The 25,472-nt window shown below is 57.2% G+C and overlaps 1 protein-coding gene and 1 long non-coding RNA gene across 5 annotated transcripts in view; one reads left to right on the top strand and one right to left on the bottom strand.

Moving 5' to 3' along the window:
- The window catches only part of OBSCN (obscurin, cytoskeletal calmodulin and titin-interacting RhoGEF), a 170,833-nt gene that overhangs the window by 88,118 nt on the left and 57,243 nt on the right, over positions 1 to 25,472 (bottom strand). For 2 of the 4 annotated variants that reach the window (NM_001386125.1, NM_001271223.3), the window contains exons 19-43: positions 21,954 to 22,229; positions 18,538 to 18,834; positions 17,212 to 17,487; positions 16,711 to 16,989; positions 16,315 to 16,581; positions 15,918 to 16,187; positions 14,733 to 14,999; positions 14,043 to 14,309; positions 13,717 to 13,829; positions 13,446 to 13,599; positions 13,093 to 13,254; positions 12,901 to 13,005; positions 11,804 to 12,070; positions 11,315 to 11,584; positions 10,672 to 10,938; positions 10,314 to 10,580; positions 9,963 to 10,229; positions 8,554 to 8,826; positions 7,475 to 7,741; positions 6,990 to 7,256; positions 4,409 to 4,681; positions 3,720 to 3,986; positions 2,799 to 3,065; positions 2,435 to 2,698; positions 1,871 to 2,134 (exon numbers count right to left, since the gene is read on the bottom strand). In NM_001386125.1, coding sequence (NP_001373054.1) covers positions 1,871 to 2,134; positions 2,435 to 2,698; positions 2,799 to 3,065; positions 3,720 to 3,986; positions 4,409 to 4,681; positions 6,990 to 7,256; positions 7,475 to 7,741; positions 8,554 to 8,826; positions 9,963 to 10,229; positions 10,314 to 10,580; positions 10,672 to 10,938; positions 11,315 to 11,584; positions 11,804 to 12,070; positions 12,901 to 13,005; positions 13,093 to 13,254; positions 13,446 to 13,599; positions 13,717 to 13,829; positions 14,043 to 14,309; positions 14,733 to 14,999; positions 15,918 to 16,187; positions 16,315 to 16,581; positions 16,711 to 16,989; positions 17,212 to 17,487; positions 18,538 to 18,834; positions 21,954 to 22,229 — 6,213 coding nt within the window. The remainder of the gene's footprint in view (positions 1 to 1,870; positions 2,135 to 2,434; positions 2,699 to 2,798; positions 3,066 to 3,719; positions 3,987 to 4,408; positions 4,682 to 6,989; positions 7,257 to 7,474; positions 7,742 to 8,553; positions 8,827 to 9,962; positions 10,230 to 10,313; positions 10,581 to 10,671; positions 10,939 to 11,314; positions 11,585 to 11,803; positions 12,071 to 12,900; positions 13,006 to 13,092; positions 13,255 to 13,445; positions 13,600 to 13,716; positions 13,830 to 14,042; positions 14,310 to 14,732; positions 15,000 to 15,917; positions 16,188 to 16,314; positions 16,582 to 16,710; positions 16,990 to 17,211; positions 17,488 to 18,537; positions 18,835 to 21,953; positions 22,230 to 25,472) is intronic. The other 2 variants (NM_052843.4, NM_001098623.2) reach the window with 1 other exon arrangement.
- Positions 14,731 to 24,418, top strand: LOC124904535 (uncharacterized). Its single transcript, XR_007066916.1, has 3 exons — positions 14,731 to 15,060; positions 15,689 to 16,999; positions 21,554 to 24,418. It is a non-coding gene; the product is annotated as an uncharacterized LOC124904535 (long non-coding RNA).

Below are 25,472 nucleotides of genomic sequence, written 5' to 3'. Positions count from 1 at the left end.
CCCTGTGTTCATGATGCAAGCAGGAACCCCACGCAGCAGGTGCCCTGGTGCATGGGTCCAGCAGATAAGAAACAACTAACTGAATACATGAAGGAACCGTCCACCCGGACATGCCCTGCATGCAGGAGATAGCCATGGATCACAGGGACAGACGAGGGCCACTGTCTCCTGTGCACTGAGGCTGGGTGGCTTCCCAGCCCACCAGATGGAGACTGGAGCCTCAGAGTGCTCAGCTTCATCCCCTGGACGCCCCCTGGGGAACTGCAGCTCGGAGCATCCTTGGGGCTTCAGGGTCCGGTGGAAACTTCCAGCATGCAAGGGTGCCCTCTTAGCAGGCACCAGAGGGGGTCCAGCAGGGCACCCACCACCTGAAGCTTTCCCGGAACTCGCCCACTTCTGGAAGCAACTGCCTCAGGCAGCCGGCAGGGGTCCACTCTGGTCATCTGCTCTTCAGCCACCGGTCTGAGGAGGACACAGATTAGCCCCCGGGCGCCTGTGGTCTCTGTGTCTCTCCAACATGCTACACAGCCATGTGACAGAGCCCGAAGTCTGTGCCCCTCTGGGGTGTCCTGGCAAGCCTGGTAGTGTGGTGCCTCCATGCCTTGGAAGCTGTCTGTGCTCTGTCGACACCGCTGGAGGTGCATGGAGGCCCGGCCTCTCCGCAAAGGTCTACAACACTTGTGCCTGTGACCGGAGCTACCTGCTTCAGGCACTGGCATCCAGATGGCTGTGCCTGGCCCCCAGAACCTGCCCCTTCACTGGCTGAGGGTTCACTCCTTGTGGTGTGAGGGGAGCCCACCAGTCCTGGGCGAGAAGGCCCTTGAGCTTGGGAGAGTCCTTCCCTGCATTCCCTGTAAGGTGCCCGAGCCCTCCACCTGGGCCGGCTTTATCCCATGTGCTTTCCCTGACGGAAGTGAGCCAGGCCCTTCAAGGCCCCGAGCACCTGAACACGCCACGCCACACCACGCCACCAGCCACACCGGGCCATGGGTCCCGGCTCCACAGACACACAAGGCCAGGCCTGCAGGGCTCTGCCCCTTCTGCTGAGAACACTGGTGGCTTGAGGCTAGAATCCTCTCCTTGCTGTGACTGAGAGGTTCAGGGCCCAGGGCGAGTTCTGCAGTCTCACATCCCTAGGGGACCCAGCCATGGCTGAGATCCACTCCCACCGCCCACACGTGAGGACACCCTAGATCTGCCGTAGGCGGACCACAGGGCTCCAGACGTTCTGTCCTGGTCAAAGCCTCCATTTCAGATTGTCTTGGGCCCCTTCTGCCACTCCACACAGCTGCTCTGCTTGGCTGACACACAAAGAGTCACTGTGGCTGCTCCTCCCCACAGTCACCCCCATCACCTCCTCCCCACAGTCACCCCCATCACCTCCTCCCCACAGTCACCCCCATCACCTCCTCTCCACAGTCACCCCCATCACCTCCTCCCCACAGTCACCCTGCCTCTCTCCTCCTCACAATGGACCCTCCCCTTCCTGGCTGTGCACTCCAGCCCACCTGCCATCCCCCCACTCCCGTCTGTGTTCCGCTTCTGGGGCTCCTCCTGATTGCCTTCCTGCCTTCCTAGTGTTTACCCTGGAGAAGATCTGTGATCTCACTTTTGTAATGATTTGGTTCTCCCCACATCCTCTGTCTCTGCCTACAACTCTGTAGGGCTCAAACAGCCCTCTCTTCTCTGCTGTCTTCCTGCTCCTGAGACGGGTAACACGCAGCAGGTGTGGGGAATCCCTACTGAAGGAATGAAGGAACCACACGCAGAAAGACAGGGAAGGCCACAGCGCAGACGTGAGCACAAAGCAGGAATGTGCACACCCGCTCAGACATAGCCACCCATGCACGTGGCCAGGAGCAGTCATTACCCTTCACGGTGAGAGTGGCAGAGGTCCTCTCCTCCCCACACACACAGGAGTACTCCCCAGCATCTGCCACAGCCAGGCCACAGATCTGCAGCTCGCACACAGCCCCGTCCTGCCTCAGGCTATGTCTGTCCCCATCTCTGAGGCTCTCACGCCCCTTCCTCCACTCCACGGGGGCCGCCTTGCTCAGCTCACACCGCAGCGTGGCTGTGGCCCCTTCTATGCTCTCTTGGTGTCTCAGTCTTCCTATGAAGTGGGCAGGCATGGCTGGGGAGAGATGGACAGACAGACATGGAGATCAGATTCTGGGAAGCACAGGGGGACAGGCCATGGCAAGACGGAGGATAAGACAGACTCCCACAGGACAGGTCCCAGGGTGCCTCGAGGGTGGGAGTCTGGCTGCAAATGCCGGGTTCTCCTGGTTCCTTCCACAGCCCAGAAAGCTGGAAGGGATTCCGTGATGTGCTGGGAAGGGCATGGCACAGTCAGGGTAGACTAGAATGGGTACGACTGACAGCAGAGGTAAAAAATTGGACACCGGACACGGCTCTGGATACACGGTCTTACGCCTGATGGTGAGTGAGGCTGAGGTCCTCTCCTCTCCACACACACACGAGTACTCCGCGGCATCCACCATGGCCAGGCCACGGATCTGCAGCTCACACATGGCCCCGTCCTGCCTCAGACAGTATCTGTCCCCATCTCTGAGGGTCTCGGACCCCTTTCTCCACTCCACAGGGGCTGCCTTGCTCAGCTCACACCGCAGCGTGGCCGTGGCCCCTTCTGTGGCCTCCTTGTTTCTCAGTTTCCCGATGAACTGGGCAGGCAGGGCTGCAGGAAAGTCAGACACAGAGAGCATCGTCTTTGCTCCCCTGCATTGGAGGAAGAGGCATCTTTGGGCCACATGGGCAGGGTGGACAGAGACACTTACCAGTCACTGTGAGGGTGGCAGAAGTAGTCTGGTCCCCGAAGGAGCATGAGTACCGCCCGCTGTCCTGCGGCCGGAGGTTCCGGACCACCAGCTCCAGCATGGCACCCTCCTGGCGTAGGCTGTATTTGTCACCTGGCCTCAGGACGTTGTTTCCATAGCACCACTTCACGGGCGCAGCCACAGATGACAGCACACAGCGCAGTGTGGCAGCACCACCCTCCAGCACCTCCAGGTCCTTCAGGGCCTCCTGGAACCGCACTGGCCGCGCTGCAGACAGGCACAGGCTCAGCTTGCCCTCCCCCGACTGAAGTCCACTAGGGGTCCCCTATAGGTGGTGGAGGGCTGGGGACATCAGCTGCAGGGTCCCCCTTCTCCTTTGGGGCCTGTGGCAGCGACCTTGAGACTTCTGGAAAGGGGCAGCTCTGAGGGTGAGGGATAGAAAGGGTGAACCAAGCAGGAGAACAGAAGAGTGGGGTGTCAGGGACCTGTGCCCGCCAAATTCACAGTTGGAAGCCCTAGCCCAGACCTCAAAGCGTGGCTGTGATGAGGAAAGTAAGGTCAAATGAGGTCACGGTGGGCCCTAAGCCACTGTGGCTGGCACCTCCTAAGATGGGAGGTCAGGGACACAGGCATGCACAGAGGGAACGTCCCCTCAGGGACGCAGAGGAGACAGCTCTGCGGGGCGGCTCCTGCAGGTGGCAGAGGCCAGGGCGGAAGCCGAGCAGGGTGGACAAGGTGCCAGGGAGAGCCAGGAAGGACATGGGGAGCCATGGGTGCCCCATACAGGATGTACGGGAGCCTGGGTGCTCCTGCCTTGGGCTCCTTGTGGGCGCACATGCCCTGCCCTGAAGACGGTGCTGCCTGAGAAGAGAGCTATAGGCACCTGGCCTGTGGCTGGGCTTTGGGGCTGCTGGGGCTCACCATGCACCCTGACAATGGAGCTGCTGCAGGCGCCCCCAGCCTCACACTTGTAGCGTCCACTGTCCTGCAGGGTGGCCCCAGTGATGAGCAGCTGGGCCCGGTGGCCCTCATGGCTCAGCTGGCACCGGGCAGACCCCCGCAGGGTCTTCCCATCCTTGGTCCAGCACACAGGAATGTCGCAGGTGCTGGTCTCGCACACCAGGGTCAAGTCCTCACCCTCTGTGATGGTGGCATCTGTGAGCTCCCGGGAGAAGACGCTTGGCTTCTCTGGGGGACAGAGAGAGAAGCAGGAGCATGTGGGATCCTGTCGTGCTGCCGCTGGAGGGGCCAACGGGGAGAAACCCTGGGTCTCACTGCAGACCAGGCAACACCCTGGCTCAGCACCCACCAGCCACCCTCACGCTGGGGCCACGCAAAAGGCTGCAGAGGGAACAGGGCAGGCTCCGTGCGGCTCCTGCCCCAGTGGGGATGCAGCCTGGCTCGGGCCACGCCAAGCACAGTTCTGCAAACCATGCAGAAGCATCCATCCTGAAAGAGCCCAATTCAGCCTTCCGAGCCCCCACCCCACAGTAAGCCAATGGTGCTTTCTCTGTGAGCCCAGGGATACTGGGCACATGGCTGAGCTGCCATCCACCTCTCCACCTGTCTGCAGCTCTGAGCAACATGTGCAATGCGGGCATGCAACCCACCAGTGACCCGCAGGGCGGCCGAGGCCCGCTGGTCACCCGCCTCAAAGTAGATGGTGCCCGAGTCCTTGAGCGCCAGCTGCCGCAGGGTCAGCACGTGGTAGCCCCCGGGCTGGGCATCGATCTCATTGAGCTCGTTGGCATGCAGGGGTGTCTTGTCCAGGAACCAGTGCACAGGCTCGTAGTTGGCCGGGGAGATCCGGCAACGGAAGGTGGCCGAGGAGCCCTCCTGCACATCCACATCCTCCAGGTCCTCGATGATGTGCACTCTCCGGCCTGCAAAGGCACAGACTGCTCAGGGGCCCCACCGTCCTGGGCAGGCTTGGCCAGCAGTGCTCCCCAGGACAGACGCTCCCCAGGACAGAGCAAGGTGGCTGTGTTTTAACAAGTTTGCAGGGACAGAACTCTGGAAACAGTAAGTGGGTCAGAGCTTGAATGGTCCAAAGGTACTTGTTTGAGGGCCACTCGGAGCCCCGAGCCCACCTCTCTGCACCTTGGAGGTCCTTCTGCAAGGCTTGCTGGGTGAGTCTGCAGCCTGCTGAGAACCCAGGAGAGCACACTCCTGCCCCCTTTCCAAGCTGTGCTCCCAGGAGCGGTTGGCTCCCAAACCTGCTTACACAGCTGTGTGTATCATTACAATTGTGCCATGAAATTAACTCTTGTAGTAACAGATGAAACAGGAGTGTGAAAAAAAAATGGCTACATTTATGTTGAAATTTAAATCAAATGCTTGGAAGATAGGAAATGTGAATTCCTAGAAACAAGGTTTTTTGGCTGTTGAATTAGGGATGGTAAGAGATGAGCGTTTATGAATATAGAGACAGGTCCTGCGTTCAGATTCCTTCTGCATGCACGAGTGTCCTGCAGGCACAACTCCACCTCAAAGAAGCTGACCCCAGCCCGGGCAATGCACACGGAGGAAGAGCTCCCATCAGTGGATGGCAAACAGGGAAATGGCTTGGACTCCCAGACCAGGCCAGTCGACATCCTCATATGTTAAATTTTTATTTTATTTTATTTTATTTTTGTAGAGACGGAATCTCACTCTGTCTCCCAGGCTGGAGTGCAGTGGCGCGATCTTGGCTCACTGCAACCTCCGCCTCCCGGGTTCAAGCAACGCTCCTGCCTCAGCCTCCTGAGTAGCTGAGAATACAAGCACGCGCCACCATGCCTGGCTAATTTTGTATTTTTAATAGAGATGGGGTTTCACCATGTTGGCCAGGCTGGTCTAGAACCCCTGACCTCTTGATCCACCTGCCTCAGACTCCCAAAGTGCTGGGATTACAGGCGTGAGCCACTGAGCCCAGCCATGTTAAACTTTAAAAGAGCATCTTTTGTTATCTTATGACTCTCACTCTTGATGACTTTTTTAAAAATTAACTCTGGGTACCAACTTTATTAGATCATGGGGCGTTACTGTGCTAACAGAATACTTTCACCAGGGTCACCAAATCCATTGGAGAGAAAAAATCAGTGATGATTCCTGGTTTACGTTACTTCTGATGATCACAACTGGGGCCTTTCAAATACTGAACCCTGTGAACGCCCTGTGGTCAGACCCCAGTAGGGACCTCCTGCAAACTCAGCTCTGGACACCAGCCCGGGACTTCAGAGCCAAGTGAAGGCTGCGGTGATGGGGCTGGGCCTCGCCTGCTCTGATCCCAATGTGCCTGATGACCTTGCCCTGGCCATGGACCCACTAAAGCTTCAGTTTTCTTATCTACAGAGTTGAGAGAATGACAGCTCTCACTCTGCCTGCCACTCAAATGTGGAGCCAAACAGTAAGATCGAACAGCCACCTACTATGATCTGAATGTCCCCCTGGAAACTCATGTTGAAACTTAATCCCAATGTGGCAATATTAAGAGGTGGAGCCTTTAAGAGGGGATTGGGTCCAAGGCGGGAATGGATTAACCCATTCATGGATCAACGGGTTAACAGGTTAATGGGTTAAAGTGCTTCCATATGAGTGGTGGCTTTAAAAGAAGATGAAGAGAGGCCCAAGCTAGCACACTCAGCCCCCTCCCCATGGGATGCCCTGTGCCGTCCCTTGGGGACTCTGCAGAGAGTTCCTGTCAGCAAAAGGGCCCTCACCAGATGTGGCCCCTTGACCTTGGACTTCCCAGCCTCCAGAGCTGTAAGAAGTAAATTTATTTCCTTTATAAATTACCCAGTTTCAGGTATTCTGTTGTAAACAACAAGAAAAAGACTAAAATGCCACTGTAACTCTCAATGACAACCCTAATGACCATCAGTTCTTCCCTGGGAGCACCTGAGGCTGCCTGGCACGGCTGAGTCAGGCTGTCCCTCTGGGATAAGGGTGACACGTTTTATGTACGGATACACGCTGAGCTTACGCATGGGGGCCAGGCACACGGGGCATGTGGGAGAAACACACAGTGACCAAATAAACACACGAGTAAGTGAGCACCAGCAGCTCATTCACAGCCATGCTGGGGAGCCTCAGTGACCACCCAGGGTGCACCCCCTATACCCTCATGATAAGAAACTGAGGCTGGGCCTGTCCACCTCCAAGTCTCCGTGCCATTCAAAGCCTAGGCCCGAGCACACTTGGCCGCCTCACCTTGCACTAGGAGCTGGGCCCGGGACTGGGCCTGGCCAATGTCGCAGGTATAGGTGTCGCTGTCTGCCTTCTCCAGGGCACTGATGGTGAGCCGCAGGGTCAGGCCCTCCTGGCTGGGCTGGTGCTTCCCTGAGGCCCGTAGCTCCAAGAGGCCCTTGCGCCAGGTCACTGTGGCCGCGGGGTGCTCCGTCTTGCACGTGAACACAGCTGTGCCTTTCTCCTCCACCTGCAGATTGGTCAGCTCCTCTGTGAAGCAGTTTGCTTTTTCTGGGGCAGGGAGATGGAGGCAGAATAGGTGGGGCGTGAGGCCTGCACAGACCCCAGGCCGGCCCCGTTATCTTCCAGGCCCGGCTGCAGAAGCTCTGGGACCTGAGTTGAGCCCTTCCACCTGAGACAGAGCAGCTCAGGCTCCAGGGGTGGCCCCGTGCCCCGCTAGGGCAGAGAGGCCACTCCAGGGCCACGCGTGGGGCTCCTGCGGCATTTACCTTCCACATGGAGGCTGGCTGTGCTCTTGGAAGCCTCCACCTCACACGTGTACTCGCCCGCGTCCTTGAGCGAGGCCCCGCGGATGACCAGCATGGCCATCGTGCCCTCGCAGACCACATCATACTTCTGGCTCTTGCGGATGGCCTTCCTGTCCTTCAGCCAGTGCACGGGCGTTCCCGCCCGTGACAGCTCACAGCGCAGCTCCACGTCCTCCCCTGGCGCCACCCACTGGTCTTCCAGGGGCTTGATGATGGCGGCCGGCCTCTCTGAAGGGAGCAGGGACAGCTGCCCTTGAAGCACAGCCAGGGCCACGGCACCAGCCACAGATGACTGCAGCCACAGCCCCAGCCACCATCTGGGCTACAGCCATAGCCCCAGGCACAGACCCAGCCAAAACCTACCACCTCCACCATGACCAGGATTGGGGCAAGGACAAGCGTTTGACAACATTCACTCTCTGGTGACCAAGACAATAGAACCTGCAACCCCCAAACTCTGGGACCTCGGCCCTCAGGAGCTTCAGAGTCCTGGAATGTTAGTGTCCCCACTGTCACCACGGTGGGACTTGGGAGGCAGGAAGATCAAAAACTACAGAATTTTATCCCCTGGCATCTTTCAGGCCCACACTGGCATCCTCTGAGTGTGCCCCACCGAGCTGCACCAAGTGTGCTCGTCAGGGGCGCGAACTCGGGCGCTGGCGGTGATGTCAGCAGAGCAGGTGGCTGGGGCCTCAGGCCAGTGCTGCCAGACTGGCCCTGTGAGTCACAGCTCTGGGAGCTACCAAGTGCTCAGGGCACTCAGACCACGGATTGGAAAAGAATCCAGGCCTATATCAGAGCTCAGAAAAGAGTGCAACCCCAATTCCACTCGAGAACCGCCCCCAGCATCCAGCAGGTGACTCAGGCCCTGCGGCTTCTAGAAGGGGTGCTCTGCAGCAGCTGGGGGAGGCAGGCCCCAAAAGCCCCCCCCACCAGCTTCTGTAGCCAGGGGGGCCCAGCTCCTGGACTCCTGGGGACAGGCCCAGGGTCCCCACTCCTCAGCCCAGGTGATAAGCCCCCGTCCGGCAGGCCCTGCCTACCTCTGACAATGAGTGAGGCCTTGGAGGTGAGGCCCCGCACAGAGAAGACCACCTCCCCGGCATCACTTGGTGCAGCCTCCCGGACCACCAGGATGTATTTTCGGCCCTGACGTGTGGCCTGGAAGCGGCTGGAGCTGCCCACTGTCTTCCCACCGACTGTCCACATGGCCGGGTCGCTGGCACTCTCGTGGGACAGGACGCACTCAAAGCTGCAGCTTTCCCCTTCCAGCACCTCCATTGTCTTCAGCCTCTTGGTGATGCCCACGTGCAGATCTGCGGGCCATCAGAGACTGTCAGGCCAGGCAAGAGGACAGCACTGCCCTGGGCCAGACCTAGGAAGGGCCAGACCCTGGGAGGGATCAGAGCCCAAGGGACCAGACCCTAGGAGGGATCAGAGCCCACAGGGACCAGACGCCAGGAGGAGCTGGATTCCTTAGAGGGACCAGACCCCACAGGGACCAAACCCTGGGAGGTGCCAGACCCTGGGAGAGGCCAGGCCCTGGGGGACAGGGTGCCACATTGCACCAGCCAATGAGTAGATGCCCCTCTGCTGGAGCTGGCTGCCCCTGGCATCTGCATAACCAACAGCTCTGATCCAATCAGTGTGGCAGGGAGAGGGAGAACCCATGGTCATCACAGGGAGGAGAGGAGGCACAGGACCCCGGATGAGGGGCCTCCAGGCAGGCTAGTCCCAGCTCCAGGACAAACTCACCATGCCTCCTGCCCCTTCCCATCTCGTTACAAGACTGTCAAGGACCAGCAAACAGGCTGGTTACACCACCTGTCACCCACACCAGGATGCCACTGGGACCGGGCACACACACAGAGGGGGCCAGGTAGCCACCCTGCAGTTGAGGGAACTTCCCCTGAAAAGCAGGACAGGTTCCAGGGCACGCACGCCCCCAAGGCTGCAGGGCTGGGTTCAGGGATGGCTCTACCCTGCCAGCCCAGTGGCCTTAGGGCCTTGCTGGGGCCCCGTGAAGGACAGAGACGTGGCCTACTCACAGCCCCTGCCTGGCATCTCGGCTTCTCCCTGGCTATCCCCACTGGTGTCCCCACAGTGGCCTGATGACTTCCATGCAGACACGTCCCCTGGTACAGGGCAACATCCCCAGGCTATGTCGTCGGGACCAGCGGGCAGGGACAGCACAGCCTCCAACCCTGGCTCCGGGGACAATTTCTGGCTCCGGGACCCACTGTCCCCGGGTCCACCTGCTTGCACCCAGGCCTCACAGGACCACATCAAGCCATGGCTCCCCCAGAAGGCTCCCCTGACCTCCCCGGCTCAGCAGAGCAGCCCTTCAATCTCAGAGAATGATGTGGGCCACCCAGGTAGTGGCTGGCCCCACATCCATGCCCACCCAGCACGCCTCCCTTCCCTGAGCTCTGCCGTGCCTGCAGCCACACACCGTGCACGCGGACCCGGGCCCGGGTCTCCTCGGAGCCCACGTGGCAGGTGTACAGGCCGGCGTCTTCAGGGCTCACGTCATGCACCACGAGCCCCCGCGTGCCCGCCGTGTGCAGGAAGTCATACTTGTCACTGGGGCCCAGCTGCACGCCATCTTTGCGCCACACCACATGGGCCTCGGGGTCAGAGACTTCACACTGCAGGGCCAGGGTGCCGCGCTCCTCTGCGGACAGGTCATCCAGCGCCTTCAGGAACACCACCGGCTTCACTGCAGGAGGGATAGGAGGGTGAGGGAGGCCAGCGCCTGTCCCATTCCTAGTGGGGAGTCCCGAAGACTCGTGGGATGACTCACCTCGGACCTCCAGGCGGGCAGAGGTCGACACCTTCAGGGAGGAGGCGCGTACTATGCCCGCATCAGCCCGCTGGATGCTCTTCAGTACCAGCGTGTGGCGCCGGCCCTTGTGTGAGATCTCATGGAAGCTGTCGTTGTACAGGGGCATCCCGTTGAGCGACCACTCGACCTCCTCATCCTCGTGGGACAGCTCACAGGAGAAGCTGGCCCAGCCCTCCTCCGTGGCCTCTGCATCCTGTAGCGGCCCTGTCACTGTCACCTCCCGCGCTGCAAGAGACACACCGGGCCTCAGTGTCCACATCACCAGGCAACCCCTCCCCAAAACCCTCTCAGTAGCCCCATGCCCCTCATGCCCCACCTTCCACAGTGACCTCAGTGCTGCTGTGGGCACTGCCCGCCTGGCACCGGTAGACACCAGCATCAGCAGGCATGAGCCGGAGGATGCGCAGCTCAGCCATCTGACCCTCCAGGCTCATCTTAAACTTCTCAGAGGGAGACAGGGGCGTGTCATCCTTGTACCACTGCACAGCCTTGGGGGCTGGCCGGAAGTCGCAGGACAGGACCACTGACTGCAGCTCACGCCCTGTCTTGGGCTCCAACGGCCGTGTGAGGACTACGGGGATGTCTGCAGGGAGTGGGGAGAGGCTGGGCCACGGCACCACAGGAACCAATCACCCTGCCCTGCCTGCCAAGCCCTGAGCCTGCTCACCTATGGCCTTGAACTGTGTCCGCCCCTGGCCCTGAGCTGTGTCCACCATTCCCTGAACTATGTCTTCCCCTGGCCCTGAGCTGTGTCCTCTGCAGTCCTGAACTGTGTCCTCCCCTGGCCCTAATTGATATCCATCTGTGGCCCTGAACTGTGTTGTCACTGCCCTGAGCCTTCTCCTCCCATGGCCCTGCCCTGTACCCACCCACAGCCCTGTCCAGGCCTCCCAACAGCCCTGAACCTTGTCCTCTTGTGGCTCTGCCCCACGTCCACCCACCGGGGCGGGAGTGCTCACCTGAGACCACCAGGCGGGCAGAGGAGCGCGACTTGCCAACGGTGAAGTGCACGGGCCCGGTCATGGTGGAGCAGGTCCGCCGCAGCATCAGCCGGTGCACCGTGCCCTCCTGCTCCAGGCCCACGTTCCCCCCAGCCTGCAACACCGTCTTCCCCAGGAGCCACTTAGGTGGCCGCACTGAGGGGATGGAGGTCTCACACTCAAACCAGGCAGGAGCGGGCTCCATCACTGTCACGTCCTGCAGACCCCGCACAATGGTGATGGATTGCTCTGTTGGGGAGGAGCAGTCGCTGGCGGATCCCGCGGATAGGACATGCTGCCCCTCCGGCAGGGTTCCTTCCTGGGAACAAGCCCCCGCCCTGCTAGATGCATGCTAGCATCCTCCTGAGCTGCCCAGACCCAGCGTCTCCAGGAGTGTAGGGCAAACCATGGACCTGGGAGACTCCCCCCAACAAAAGCAACCTGCAGAGCTGCCCTCCCTGCCTGCACCTTCCACGAAGAACTGTGCACTGGTCTTGACATCACCGGCGTCACAGGTGTAGGTGTCCTCGTCCTCTGCGTGGACATCACTGATGATCAGCTTGCGGTAGAGGCCATCACTGACCAGCTCGTACTTGGGCCCGGGCTGCAGCTCCTGACTGCCCTTGAACCACCGCACCTGGGCGCTGGCCCGGGACACCTGACACTCCAGCACACCGCGGTGCTTCTCCATGGCAATCTTGTCCCGCAGCGGGCGCACGAGGGTCACTGGCAGCTCTGTGAACGTGGTGGGGGCATGGGGTGGATCAGAGATGGTGCTCCAGGCTCCCAGGCCCAGGCTCCGACAAGGCACTGAGGGTCTTGGGCCCTCAGTTGGACCCCACTAGGCCCCAACAGCCCATGTCTGCCCGCCAGGGGCCAGCAGGTGGTCAGGCCAAGTGTCCCCCTTGGAGCTGTGCTAGGACCTGCTCCACAGAGCAGACCACAAGCAAGGGGAGTGCGCCCACCTCTGCCCGCCCTGCCCTCCCATATCCCACACTCCCACTTCCACTGCCCAGGTCCTACCCGCTGTCCCGGCCCACCAAGAGCAGGGTAGGTCCTGCCCCATGTAGCCCCACCCCCTGCAGTCCTCTCCCCAAACCCCCACTTCCGAACCATAACCACATACCCTAGCTCAGTCCCAGGAACTCATGTCCCTCCCCGCATACCTCTGATTAGCCCTACTGGCCCATCCCCACCCCACCTGTCTGCAGAGCCTCCCTCCCTGCCACCCCAGCACCACTTTCCCTGATCCTCCTCCTCGCTGCCACCAGGTAGAACCCCCCGCCCCTGCCATGCCTCCCCCACAGGACCTCATGCCTGGCCTCTCCAGCACTCGCTGCAGCCCGAGGGAGAATTCTTCAGGATCTGTTTTAAGGAAGGGAGAAGCCCCTCATGGCCGCTTCTCTGGCCCCTATCTTCCTGCCAAGGAGGTGACGCCCCCTTCCCTCCTGAGTCCCTGCTGTCCTCGTCCTGAGAGCAGGCCTGGGGCGTCCGGGCCTGTGCTGAGCCAGCTGGCCACACATGCACACCGTCCAGCCCCGCCCTCCCCTCAGCCCCCACCTCACCCTTCACTCGGAGCTGGGCTCGCGATTCTGCATTTTCGGCTACAAATTGGATCTCTCCTGCATCTTCCGCCAGGACTCTCCGGTAGATGAGAGTGTATGTCCTTCCTGGGGACAAAGGCGGCTCAGTATGGGCGGGGGCAGAGGAAGACCTGGGGGCCGGGCCGTGCCTGCTACAGCCGCCTGTCCTCGAACCTTCCTGGCGGATGCGCACGTTGTCAGTGGGCCGCAGTTTACTGCCCTCCCAGAACCACTGGCCAGGCACTTCGTCGTGGGAGACCTCACAGGAGAAGGTGGCACCGTCCTTCTCCATCACTTCCACATCCTCCAGGGGCCTCACGATCTGGATGTTGCGGCCTAGGGTGGCAAGGGAGGCCCTGCCACACCCGGACACACAGAGCTGCTCCCAGCACCCCCCACCCAGTGCCCCAGCATGCCAAGGGTTGTGCAGGTGAAAGTAGAGCTGCCAAGCCCCTGGCTGGGGGACACGGAGGACAGGAGGAGGTGCCCATACCTGCCATGCCCCACATGCCCCACGCAGCCCTCACCTTGTACCTTCACGGAGGCAGAGCTCTGGGCATCATGGGCATCACACACATACACTCCCTGATCCGCGAACTCGCACCGGTAAATGGTGAGGCTCCTGCAGGCGCCCTGGGCTGCGATGGCCATCGTCTTGCCTGCCCGCAGCTCCACACCGTCCTGTGCAGGGCAGAGGCCGAGTCAGGCACTCAGGTGGTCCAGCCCTGGGGTTCTGCTTGGGCCCGCCCACATGAGAGGAGGGGAGGAGGCAACCGAGTGGGGTCGGCAGGGAGGCACCTTCAGCCAGCGCACATCCACATTAGGACGCGACAGCTCGCACTCCAGGGTAACCTTCTCCTTCTCAGTGGTCACCACGTCCTGCAGCGGGCGGCTGAAGCTCACGGGAAGCTCTGGGGAGGAGGAAGGAGGAGGTGGGAAGAGAAAAAGGGCTTGGAGAAGCCTTCAGGATGGGGACAGGGACAGGGGTGGGGCAGTGCCCCAGCTGGACGGAGTTATACGGAGCTGGCTCATCTAGGTCCCCAGAGAACCCACCGACCTTCCCGGGGCCCCCTCGGGACAGGCAGGCGTGCTCTGTGCTGTGCCCTGCCGGCCCCCCAACGCACCGGTGACCACGAGCCGCGCCGACGTGTGCACTCCTTCGGCCTTGAAGACCATAAGGCCACTATCCTCTGGCCGCAGCCCCGAGAGTGTGAGGGTGTGCATGGGGCCCCGCACAGCCAGGTGGCACGTGGGCCCCTGCTGGAACCGCAGACCGTCACGAGTCCAGCTGCCATCCACGTCCGCATGCGACAGCTGCACCTCCATGGTAGCCGTGCCCTGCTCCCGTGCCTCCACTGCCTGCAGGCCCCGTACGAGCCGTACCTGGCGCACTGCGGTGCACACGCGGTGTCACGGGTCAGCCGCTGCTCTGAGACCACCGCCTTTAGAACCCTGGGGCACAGCCGGCTTCCCCAGGAGCTCGGGGAGGGCCGGGAAGCCGCCCCACGCCTACCCCCACCGCTCGCCCCTCGGGCGGGAGACCTGCCCCTCTCCCAACCCTACGGCCCTTCCAGAGGGCCCGCCACTCCCCTCAGTGTCCCACCTCGCTCCTCCCTCCTCCCCTCAGTGCCCCACCTCCCTCCTCTCTCTTCCCCTCAGCGCCCCACCTCCCTCCTCTCTTTTCCGCTCCCTCTTCCTCAGTGCCCCTCCTCCCTCCTCCCCTCAGCACCCCGCCTACGTCCTCACTAATCCTCAATGCCCCGCCTCCCTCCTCACTCCTCCTCGATGCCCCGCCCTTCCCGCCCGCGGCTCACTCTCCACGGTGAGTTTGGCCTGTGTCTTGTCATCCGGCGTCTCGCAGCCAAAGAAGCCACGGTCGGCAAAACCTACGTTGTGCAGAACCAGGCGGTGGCGGGCGCCCTCGGCGTGGATCTCCACGTTCTTTCCCGGCGCCAGGGCCGTCGCGTTCCGTGTCCACCTCAGCTCCGGCCACGGCCGCGTCAGCTCCACCTCCAGGGTCACCGAGCTCCGCTCCTCCACCGTCTGCGGCTCCAGCTTCTTTTTGAACAGCACAGGCGCCTCTGGGGTCGCAGGAGAGGGGAGGTCACGGCGGCCCTCGCCCTCCTCCACGGACAAGCCAAGGTACAGAGGGCCCGCACAGCCCCGGCGCCTGCCCTGAGCCGGGCCCAGGCAGAGCTGCCGGCACCGCGCCCCGGGATCCCAATCCAAACAGCGCGGCCCTGGCCACACGCGGGCCGCAGCTGCGCACCCTCCCGGGTGCGACTTTAAGCGAGGAAACCAGGAAGCTTCCTTAAGCCCCGCTCCCACCTCCAGCTCCCCTGCTCTGAACAAGACGCCAGGCCCTTGTGCCTCGAAATCCTAGACGTGATCCCCACTAGTAGCACTGGCAGGAACTGCAGAGGGGGGAAGACAGAGCTTCCCCAGGCGCAACGGCGGTTTAGCAAAGCCCAGGACTCCTGCGCAGGTTAAGGAAGAGGCGCTGGCGGGCCTCTCTGCCTCAGGCCACCCGTCAACTCCGCAGAAGGTGAATCTGCTGCATCACTCCCTTACTCTAGAACCTGCCATGACTCCCACTTCCCTTCAGGGCAAGTTCTGGCTTCTGGCTTCAGCAGCATGGGAAGCCCATGTCACTGCTTGCACTGGTGCTAACCCCACTCTCTCTTCCCTGCCATCCATCAGGCTAAGTATGCACCCACCTACTCCAGAAAGCCTCCCTGGATTGCCTCAGCCTCCCCCCATTCCCCACCAGGTGCAACTGCAGGATTGTATCTTCTCTATACCAAGAGAAGGCACCTGGCCCATCCAGCCTACCGGAGTCTCCTCTCTGCAGCCCACACACCCCGTGTCTCCTGAGGTCAGCCGGACCAGCCGTAACAGGACAGCAGTTCCAGGTGCCCACTCAGAACCAGCCCACAGGGGAGGTGCCTGTGCAAGGAGCCCTGGCCAGCCAGGCAAATCCTGCTGCCCCCCACACTCACCTCGGACCCTCAGGGCAGCAGAGGATGAGGCGCCCTCAGCCTCCACGGTGATCTGGCCCGCGTCCTCCAGCACCAGGTCTGAGATGGTCAGGCTGTGGCTGGCGCCACTCTGTGATATGGCAAACTTCTCGCTGGGCTGAAGCAGGGCACCGTCCCGGAACCACACGACTGCCACATCACTGGGGGACACCACGCACTGGAAGGTGGCCTCGCCGCCCTCCTCTGCGACCACGGTGCTCAGCCCAGACATAAACTTCACCACTCGGGGCACTGCAGACAGGAGCACTGCTTAAGAGGCGGGCGCACAGGACTGGCAGAGCCCTTACGCTGCAGGAGTACCAAAGGCCGCCTCCTCCAGGAGGCTGCCCTGGATAGGGACACTCGACCCCTTACATACCACTGACGGTGAGCTGCGCACTGGTGTGGTCATCACGGCTCTCACACACGTACTCCCCTGCGTCCTCTGCGCGCAGCCCCAACACAGTGAGTGAGCGCACGGGCCCCTCGGCCACCATCTGGAAGCGCTTGCCCACCCGAAGCTGCGTGTTGCCGCAGCGCCACACCACCTCTGCACACGCTGGGCTTAGCTCGCAGGCCAGTGTCACCGTGCCACCCAGCTCGCCGCACACAGGCTCCAGCAGCCGGCAGAACTTGGCGGCCACCTCTGTGGGCACAAAGGGGACATCAGCCGGGCTCTTAACAGACCAGACTTGAGCCCCAGCTTCGCCCCTGTCCAGCTCTGGGACAGAGGTGTCTGGAGGAGTCCCCGCCCCACGCCCCATGCCCGGCTCACCTTCCACCTGCACTGGGAAGTCCTGCCCCTCTGCGCCCACACGGCAGCTGTAGATGGCGCTGTCCAGAACCTGGGCGCCATGCACGGTCAGGGTGTGGGTGTCCCCCTGGCTGGCTGTCTCATGCCGCTTGCTGCGGCGAATCTCCACACCATCCTTGAGCCAGGTCACCGTGGCCGCAGAGGGTGTGGCCAGTGTGGCGGTCAGGATGATGTCTTCATGCTCCTTGACCACCAGAGGCTCCCTGCGGCAGGGTCTCTCTGAAATTTGGGGCTCCAGCTCTGGGTAGAGGTGAGTTGGCATGAGAGGGGGACCCTGTCATCCCTGGACCGGCCCCGCTCCCTTCAGGGCCACCCTAATGCTACCTGGCACCCCTGATACCCATTGCTCTTCAAGGATGGCCCAGTGCAGTCCTGAGCACCATCAACTACCATCCAGAATCCCAGGGACCATACAGTGTGGCCATCAGCTTCAGGCGAGGTGGATTCACCCAAAGCACTGACCTGCCACGTGCAGGCGGAAGGACAGCCGTTGGCCCCCCGCCTCACAGCTGTACTCCCCAGCATCCGCCTGGCCCGCCTGCTGCACTACCAGCCTCCGTGTGTAGCCGCTGGCCTCCATGTGCACTTTTGAGCTGGAGCTCAGCTTCTTCCCGTCCTTGTACCATGTCACCTCCATCTGGCCCTGGGCCACCTCACAGCTCAGCGTGGCACTGGCCCCCGCCTCCGCCTGCACCTCCCTGCATGCCGGCTGCTCCTTGGCAAACACCACCTTGGGCTCTGGGATGGACAAGGAGGGATGCAGGGTCAGAGGCTCCAGAGCAGACACAGCCCATGTGTCAGCCCAGTGACAGCCAGGCAGGGCTGTCCATCATTAAGCAGTGCACGGTGACGCACAGAGCTCCCCCCGGCACTACCAGAGCCAAAGGTCTAAGGCTGCATGTTGGCAGCACCATCATCATGTCCCTTGGGAACAGGATGCGGCCCCTTCCCTGCCTCGGTCTTCCAGGGCCCTGGGGCCCTCACCTGTCGCCAGCCCTCCCCACCACGCAGGGCCACAGGCAGTAGGACGTGAAGGGTCAGGAGAGATGGACCAGCAACCTGGGCCAGCCCAGAGGCAGCGGAGTGTTGGCAGGGCCATTGGAAAGAGGGTGCCAAGCTGAGTGTGGTCTGTTGTCCCCAGCTCAGGGACAGGGTGGAAGGGAGATGGATATCAGAAAGACAGGTGGACACATGGTGATGACCAAGGGGCCCAGCACAGGCTTACAGAGATCTAGGGCCCAGAGCACAGAGACAAGCCCCCACCACCCAGTACACGCTCTCCAGTCACTGCCGGGCCCTCCCATGGCCCAGCACCCACAGAGGAGTCAGCAGATCACATTAGACCAGACCCAGACCCCCACCCCAAGGACATCACACCACTGTCCCCACCACCCAGACAGAAATCATCACATCTGACCAGACCCGGACCCCAGACCCCCGAGGACATCACGCTACTGTCCCTACCACCCAGACAGGGGTCCTCACATGAGACCGGACCCAGACCCCAGACCCACACCCCAAGGACATCATGCTACTGTCCCTACCACCCCCGGCTCAGCCACTGCAGGGCACACACCATGGTCAACTCAGCCCATGGGCCTGCTCTAGTCTCATGACATAAGGACACTGGCCTGAGAGCTGCTGGGGAGAGCTGGGGACACAGATTCTGAGGCCTACATAGAGGGAAGGTGCCAGGGCCCACAGCACCTTGGGCCGCCCAAACATGCCCTTGTAGTTTCACACCCGACACTCAGCATCACCTCCATTTTGCCTAACCCTGGCACCCACCAGCCACATGCAGATGGAAGGAGAGCCGCTGGCCCCCAGCCTCGCAGCTGTACTCCCCGGCGTCCGCCTGGCCTGCCTCCTGCACCACCAGCCTCCGTGTGCAGCCCACGGCCTCCACACGCATTTTCGAGCTGGAGCTCAGCTTCTTCCCGTCCTTGTACCACATAACCTCCGTCTGGGCTTGGGCCACCTCGCAGCTCAGCATGGTGCTGGTCCCTGCCTCAGCCTGCACCTCCCTGTGCACCGGCTGATCCTTGGCAAACACCACCTGCTCCTTGGCAAACACCGCCTTGGGCTCTGGGGATGGACAAGGAAGGACATACGAGGTCAAAGATACAGCCTAGGTCAGGAAGACCACCCTAGGATAGGAGGGCCTGGATGAGGAAGTAGGAGAAACAGAACCTTCCCCAGGCTCTGCACTGGCTGCGTGGCCAGGAGAAGTCCTGCCACCTCCCAGCGCAAGAATCACAGTTTGTCTATCCACTGTGCACGGCGCCATGGGCTATCACAGGTGGGGCAGCTATGACAAACCCTCCATGCATGAGCTCCTCCAGGGCAGGGACTAGGGTACCTGCACATGCGGCTCTTCTTCAAGCATGTATGGAGCTTTAAATCCACTTGTCATTTTTCAACCTTGCATCCCCCAAAACCACATTTGTTTGGATTTTGATTGAGACTGAACGTCTTTCATTCTTCCATGGCTTCTATCCACTTTAGATCTTTACTGTCTCTCAAAAGTGTTTCATAGCTTCCCCCACAGAACCTCTCGACATCTTTTATTAGACTGGGATCATAAACATGATGCCTTTGAGGCGTCTGTCAATCTTTTACGTTTTCATTTTCCAACTGCTTGCTGCTAGTCTACATGTACGGAAGTTTCTTCACACAGATCTTGCAAGGGTTGATCTTTCTCAACTCTCTAATAATTTATCTTCTAGGTAAACCGTATATTCTGTCAATTCACTTTTTTCTAACTTTTACACCTTTCGTTTTACTTTCCTCCTAACTGTGCCATCCAATGCTGGATGGAAGTGTTGACCACTGGCTTCCTCATGCTGTCCCCTGGCTCAGAGGCAAAGCTTACAAAGTCTCCCTTTGTGATTTTTGTGTAATACCCTGTGTCAAATTAGGAAAAAAAAACTTTTATTTATACTTTGTTAAGAATTTTATGGCATGATGGATGCTAAATTTTGCCAGACATTTCTTCTGAATATATGAGGTTAAATTTTTATCAAATATGGTACTTTATTCTGAGTTTAAGATAATTACATTGTTTTCAAATTTCAATCACATATCATGATTTTCTAATGTTTTTAACATGAAAGCAGCCCTCATTCCTAGACTATGAATTTCATCATCCTGTATGATTGTCTTGATGTATTGCTGAATTCAGTTTACTAATGTTTTGTTTAAAAAATTGGCCATGATATCCATAATTCTTTGATCTACAATGTGCAAACTTCCTATCTTCTGGCCAGATTTTAGTCATGGCATTAAGCTATCTGCATATAATGAGTTAGAGGGTATATCTTCCTTTTTCCATTCTCCAGAAGAATTTCCATGAACATGGAAGAATTTCTGGCCAGAACGTTTGGAAGAATTTCTCAGTAGGGCCACATGTTTGATGAGAAGATTTTTCGCTACCGGTTCTAGTTTTTACTAGGTTGTAGTAACTGAGATAACTTCAGTAACAGTAGATAACTGCATATAGGTTATCTATTTCTTAAGTCTGTTTTTGGTTTCTAGAAATTATATAATTTGTTAACACTTTTCAAATTTACTTGCAGTGAGTATTTTTGGTATCTACACATTTGTAAACCATTTTAGATATATATAACACCAACTGTTATGTGGTGGCACTCAGGGCTCAGGGTTGGAGTTTGAAGTTAAACTCTCCTAACAAACAATAGGAAAGTAAAGGTCATTCTCAGACTTCCTATGAATCAGCTGGAGAGGGGGCAGGCACAGGACTCATCAAGGAAACAGGATGATGTAAATATGGCTTCCCCAGTCAGCGACTGCTACCACCATAACTTAATTCTACCAGTGTGTCACTGTGCCATAAGCTACTTATTCCTTTTTTTTTTTTTTTTTTTTTTTGGTGTAAAGAAAAAACACAGCTTTATTGGCTCTCAGGAGACAAAACAAACAGAACAAGATATTCATATTAATGCAAACAATGCAACAAATGAGGGGAAGAATCGCCCGGCTGAAGCGAGGCCCGGCGCGGCCGCGGCCGGGGGGCTGAGAAGGGCCTGGGTGCCTGTCGCCCGGGAGCCGAGGTTTCCCGGCCTCCCCTGACCCCGGGCGCCAAGAGCAGTCGGTCCCCCCGGCCTCCCGCCGGCAAAGGGGCCCTGGGGCCCAGGCGTGCGGCCCCTGCGTGGCGGCAGGCGGCCCAGGCCACGCCGGCGCCTAGAGAAGGCCTCCAGTCCAGGCCTCATGGAAGGGCCTGCCTCGCGCGGCCCCTCAACACCCCACAGTGTGGCACTGGAAGGGACCTAAAAACCCACCTGGCTTTCTCCTTTCCCCTTCCCCACGCTTCCCAGGGCCCAATGCCCGCATCTCAGTTTCGCTTTCCGGCAGGGTCAGGGGTGAGAGGGAGGAATTCTCAGGTGTCACCTCCTCACCCGCCTGGAGGCGGAGGCTAGAAACACCAGCTACTTATTCCTATCACTTTTAAATCTATCCAAATTCCAAGGGGAATTCAGACACAGAACATTCTAACAGAATGCAAAAGGAAAGTGAGATTGGCTTCCGAAATGGAATTCCAACGTCACGTGTGCGCACCTGCCAATGTGCTGCTCTTTACTCGTTTTGCACACACTAACGCTGTGGATCTGGGTTTTAGTCAGGGCTCTGACAGGGCTTCTACATCCACAGGGAAGGACAGAAGTGTGTCCCAGAACACTGAAAACTTTGGGAACCCAGTGTTCAGTGTTGATATAATTCCAAATAAGACTGTGTGGCTGGAATTTCCCTACACCCTGACTCAACGAATTAAAATCTCTTTCCACAGGGAGAGCCCTCACATGGGGCCAGATGAGGCCGTGCAGGGACTGCAGGAGTATCCCCGAGGGAGGGACGTCTGGCTTACCGCCATCTCATGCATTAGATAGGACCAGAGTCCTGGACACCTCGGGACATCGGTAGTTTGGAGAAGGTACTGGGAAAATGTGACCCAGCATGTCTGCACAGAAACACCACCCAACATGGACAAGGAGGGCCCTGACCCTTCCGTTCACTCCCTTCCCCACTAAGCAGCCCAGCTCCACCACAGGCATAAAAATAGGAGGTGAGAGGATGGGAGAAGTTGAGGGATGGAGTCTAATGGAAAGCCCACTGGGTCAGCAGTGGTTCTACTCCAGTCACAGCAGCAGCTACAAACAGGGCTCACTCAGCATCCCCAAAGCACTGACCTGCCACCTGCAGGCGGAAGGAGAGCTGCTGACCCCCTGCCTCGCAGCTGTACTCCCCGGCCTCTGCCTGGCCCGCCTGCTGCACCACCAGCCTCCGTGTGCAGCCCACGGCCTCCACGCGCACTTTCGAGCTGGAACTCAGCTTCTTCCCATCCTTGTACCACGTCACCTCTGTCTGGGCCTGGGCCACCTCGCAGCTCAGCGTGGCACTGGCCCCCGCCTCAGCCTGCACCTCCCTGTGTGCTGGCTGCTCCTTGGCAAACACCACCTTGGGCTCTGGGGATGGACAAGGAGGGACACACGAGGTCAAAGATACTGCCCAGGTCAGGAAGACCACCCTAGGGTAGGAGGGCCTAGACAAGAAAGTAGGAGAAACAGAACCTTCCCAAGCTTGGCACTGGCCATGTAGCTGGGAGAAGCCCCACCACCTCCCAGCACAAGAATCACAGTTTCTCCATCCACTGTGCAGTGCCATGGGCTATTCCAGGCGGGGCAGTTGTGACAAACCCTCCGTGCACGAGCTCCTCCAGTGCAGGGACTGGGTTCCTAATGCTTACACAGCTCCCTTCAAGGATATGCTAGGGTCTCCCCATGGGACTGGGCAGGGCGTGTCCTCACTGCAGGGCCCCAGAGTACTGAGGCTTCCAGTCCTGCCACTGTCAGGAGGGTCAGCGTTGGCCTCTGCGGGGAAGGCCTGGGCTTTGTCATGCATTGCCTGGTGACATGCAAGGTGGAGCCCTTTCCACCACTTCTGGCCATTACGTCAGCTCTTCTGGGGTGTCGCTCTTCAGGCTTCTGTCCAATTTTCAGTAGCCTTTTCTGTCTTTTCCTTCCTTATTTTTAGGAACTCTTTATATATTTTAAATGCTAGCAAATGATAACTGTGTATTTGTAAACATCTTACCCATGTCCTTGACCGGCCTTTTCGCTCTCAAATGATGTCTTGACAAATTAAAGTTTTAGTTTTAATGTAGTTAAATATACCATTGTTCCACTGTTTAGTTTTAAGAAATCTTTCCTTTCCCTGAAGTTTTTAGCAATCTATGTTAGCATCTAGAGGCTTTATGGTTTTACCTTTTATACTCTGTGGCCTCTAACCTTCCTGGAACTCACTTTTCAGTGTGAAATAAGTTACTAGTCTAAATTTTTGTAAGGTTAAACAATCAAAGAACTATTTTTTTTTTAGAAGATCATCCTTTCTCCACTGCCTGTGCAGGTGTGAAGGTTAAAAAAAAAACACACAAAACACACACACACAAAAAAAACAAGAAGCAATAAAAGGGAGAATCCATGTATTTGGGTCTGATCATGAGCTCACGATTCTGTCCCTTTGGTCTGACAACTGTCCTTGTGTTGTGCCTGGCTGTCTCCATTCCTGCAGCTGAATGTTCTTGATATCTGGTAGACAAATGCTCACAAGTGGCTCTTCAAGAGTGTGTTACTCCACTTGGCCTTCAGAATCTGCTTCTCAACGTTCACCTCCCCAAAGAGAAACATTTGCTTGGGTTTTGACTGGGCATTAACATATTTGAGTCTTCCATGGGTTTCTATTTATTTAGGTCTTCTTACTGTCTGTCAAAAATGTTTCACAATGGCCAGGCACAGTGGCTCACACCTGTAATCCCAGCACTTTGGGAGGCTGAGGTGGGAGGATTGCTTGAGGTCAGGAGTTTGAGCCCAGCCTGGGCGAAATAGTGAGACCCTGTCGCTACCAAAAAAATTCCTTAAAAAATTAGCTAGGCATGGTGGTGCACGCCTGTATTCTCATCAAGTCAGGAGGCCGAGGTGGGAGGATCTCTTGAGCCCAGGAGGTTGAGGCTGCAGTGAGCCATGATTGCACGACTGAACTCCACTCTGGGTGACAGAGTGAGATCCTGACTCAACAACAAAAATATCTGACAATTTTCCTCCACTGAGGTATCAGACATCTTTACTATACTTGATGCTTTTCACGCTCTTGTAAATCTTTTAAAATTTCATTTTACAACTGTGTTGCTAGTGTGTGTGTGTATGCGTATATACATACATACATATATATGTGTATTCTGCATGTTGAATTTCTATGTGATGTTTCTCAACTCTCATATTATTTGTTATAACTTATTATTTATCTTATTATTTATCTATCTTTTGGATTTTCTGAATTGATACTCATATAATCTGTGAATCCCACTTATGTTTTTCTCCAAGTGTTATACCTTTTCTTTTCTTTTCCTCCTTTCTCTGCTGTACAGTGCTGAATGGAAGTTGGGATGGTTGGCTTCTACGTGCTGATTCCTATCTCAAAGGCAAAGCTTTCAAGGTTCTCTTTAAATATGCAGTTACCTGGTGTTTTCTGCAGTACCACTGACCAGATTAAAGAACGATACTTTATAATTTGTTAAGAATTTCATGGCATGAATTGATGCTGAATTTTATCAAATATTACCTCTGAACTTTAATATTAAATTTAATCAAACATTGTATTCTGTATTTATTGAGATCACATAATTTTTTCATTGCATCCAATTCCATCATCCTTTATATAGATGCACTTGTTTCTAAAACTAAACCAGCCTTGCATTCTGGGACTACATCCTTCCTTAGAGGGTCTTATCCTCTTGATAGATAGCTAAATTCAGTTGCTAATATTTTGCCTTGATATCCATAATAGATTGGTCTAAAATTTTAATCCTTGTTAACATTCCTTGTCATATTTTGATATCCATATTATATTTCTTATTTTTCTTTTTTTTTCTTTTTTGAGACAAGAGTCTCAATCTGTTGACCTAGCTGGAGTGCAGTGGTGCCATCATAGTTCACTATAACCTCAACCTCCTGGGCTCAAGCAGTCCTCCCACCTCAGCCTCCCAAGTAGCTAGGACTTACAGGCACCCACTACAACACCCAGCTAATTTTTTAATTGTTTTTTAGAGACAGGGTTTTGCTATGTTGCCCAGGATGATCTCGAACTCCTGAGCTCAAGTGATCCTTCTACCTTGGCCTCCCAAAGTGTTGGGATTACAGGCATGAGCCACTGCCCTAGGCTATATCATGTTTCTACAAGACTATCTGGGGAGTATATCTGCTTTTCTGTTCCCTAGTAGAAGAATCTGTATGAACATAGAATAATTTCTTTCCTAAATATTTAGTATAATTTAGCAATTAGAGCCACCAGGCTTACATCTTTTGCTATGAGCAGATGGTTTTCATGGTTCCATTTTTTTAAGTTTCTAGGACTACTAGAGTTATCTACTTATTTTTGTGTCACTTTTGATATATTTCTAGGAACTGGCCAAATTGTCAATATTTTCAAATTTATTACTATAAAATTTATTACCACAAATGTATTTCTATAAAATAATTTGTCATATTCTCTTAAAATTTGACAAAAATACAGAGTGAGGTTTTGGGTGTATATACACCCCCAAAACCACTCTATGCTGATGCAATAACAAACTGTTATGTGGTGGCATCTAGAGGTCAGTGTAGTACCTACAGCCAGGGTTACTGGACAGTAAGACTGTCTTAATGAAAGGA

Source organism: Homo sapiens, chromosome 1, assembly GCF_000001405.40.
Source record: "Homo sapiens chromosome 1, GRCh38.p14 Primary Assembly".
Lineage (NCBI taxonomy): Eukaryota > Metazoa > Chordata > Mammalia > Primates > Hominidae > Homo > Homo sapiens.
The sequence above is the reverse complement of the archived record's forward strand: the minus strand, read 5'-3'. Positions and strand labels throughout refer to the sequence as shown.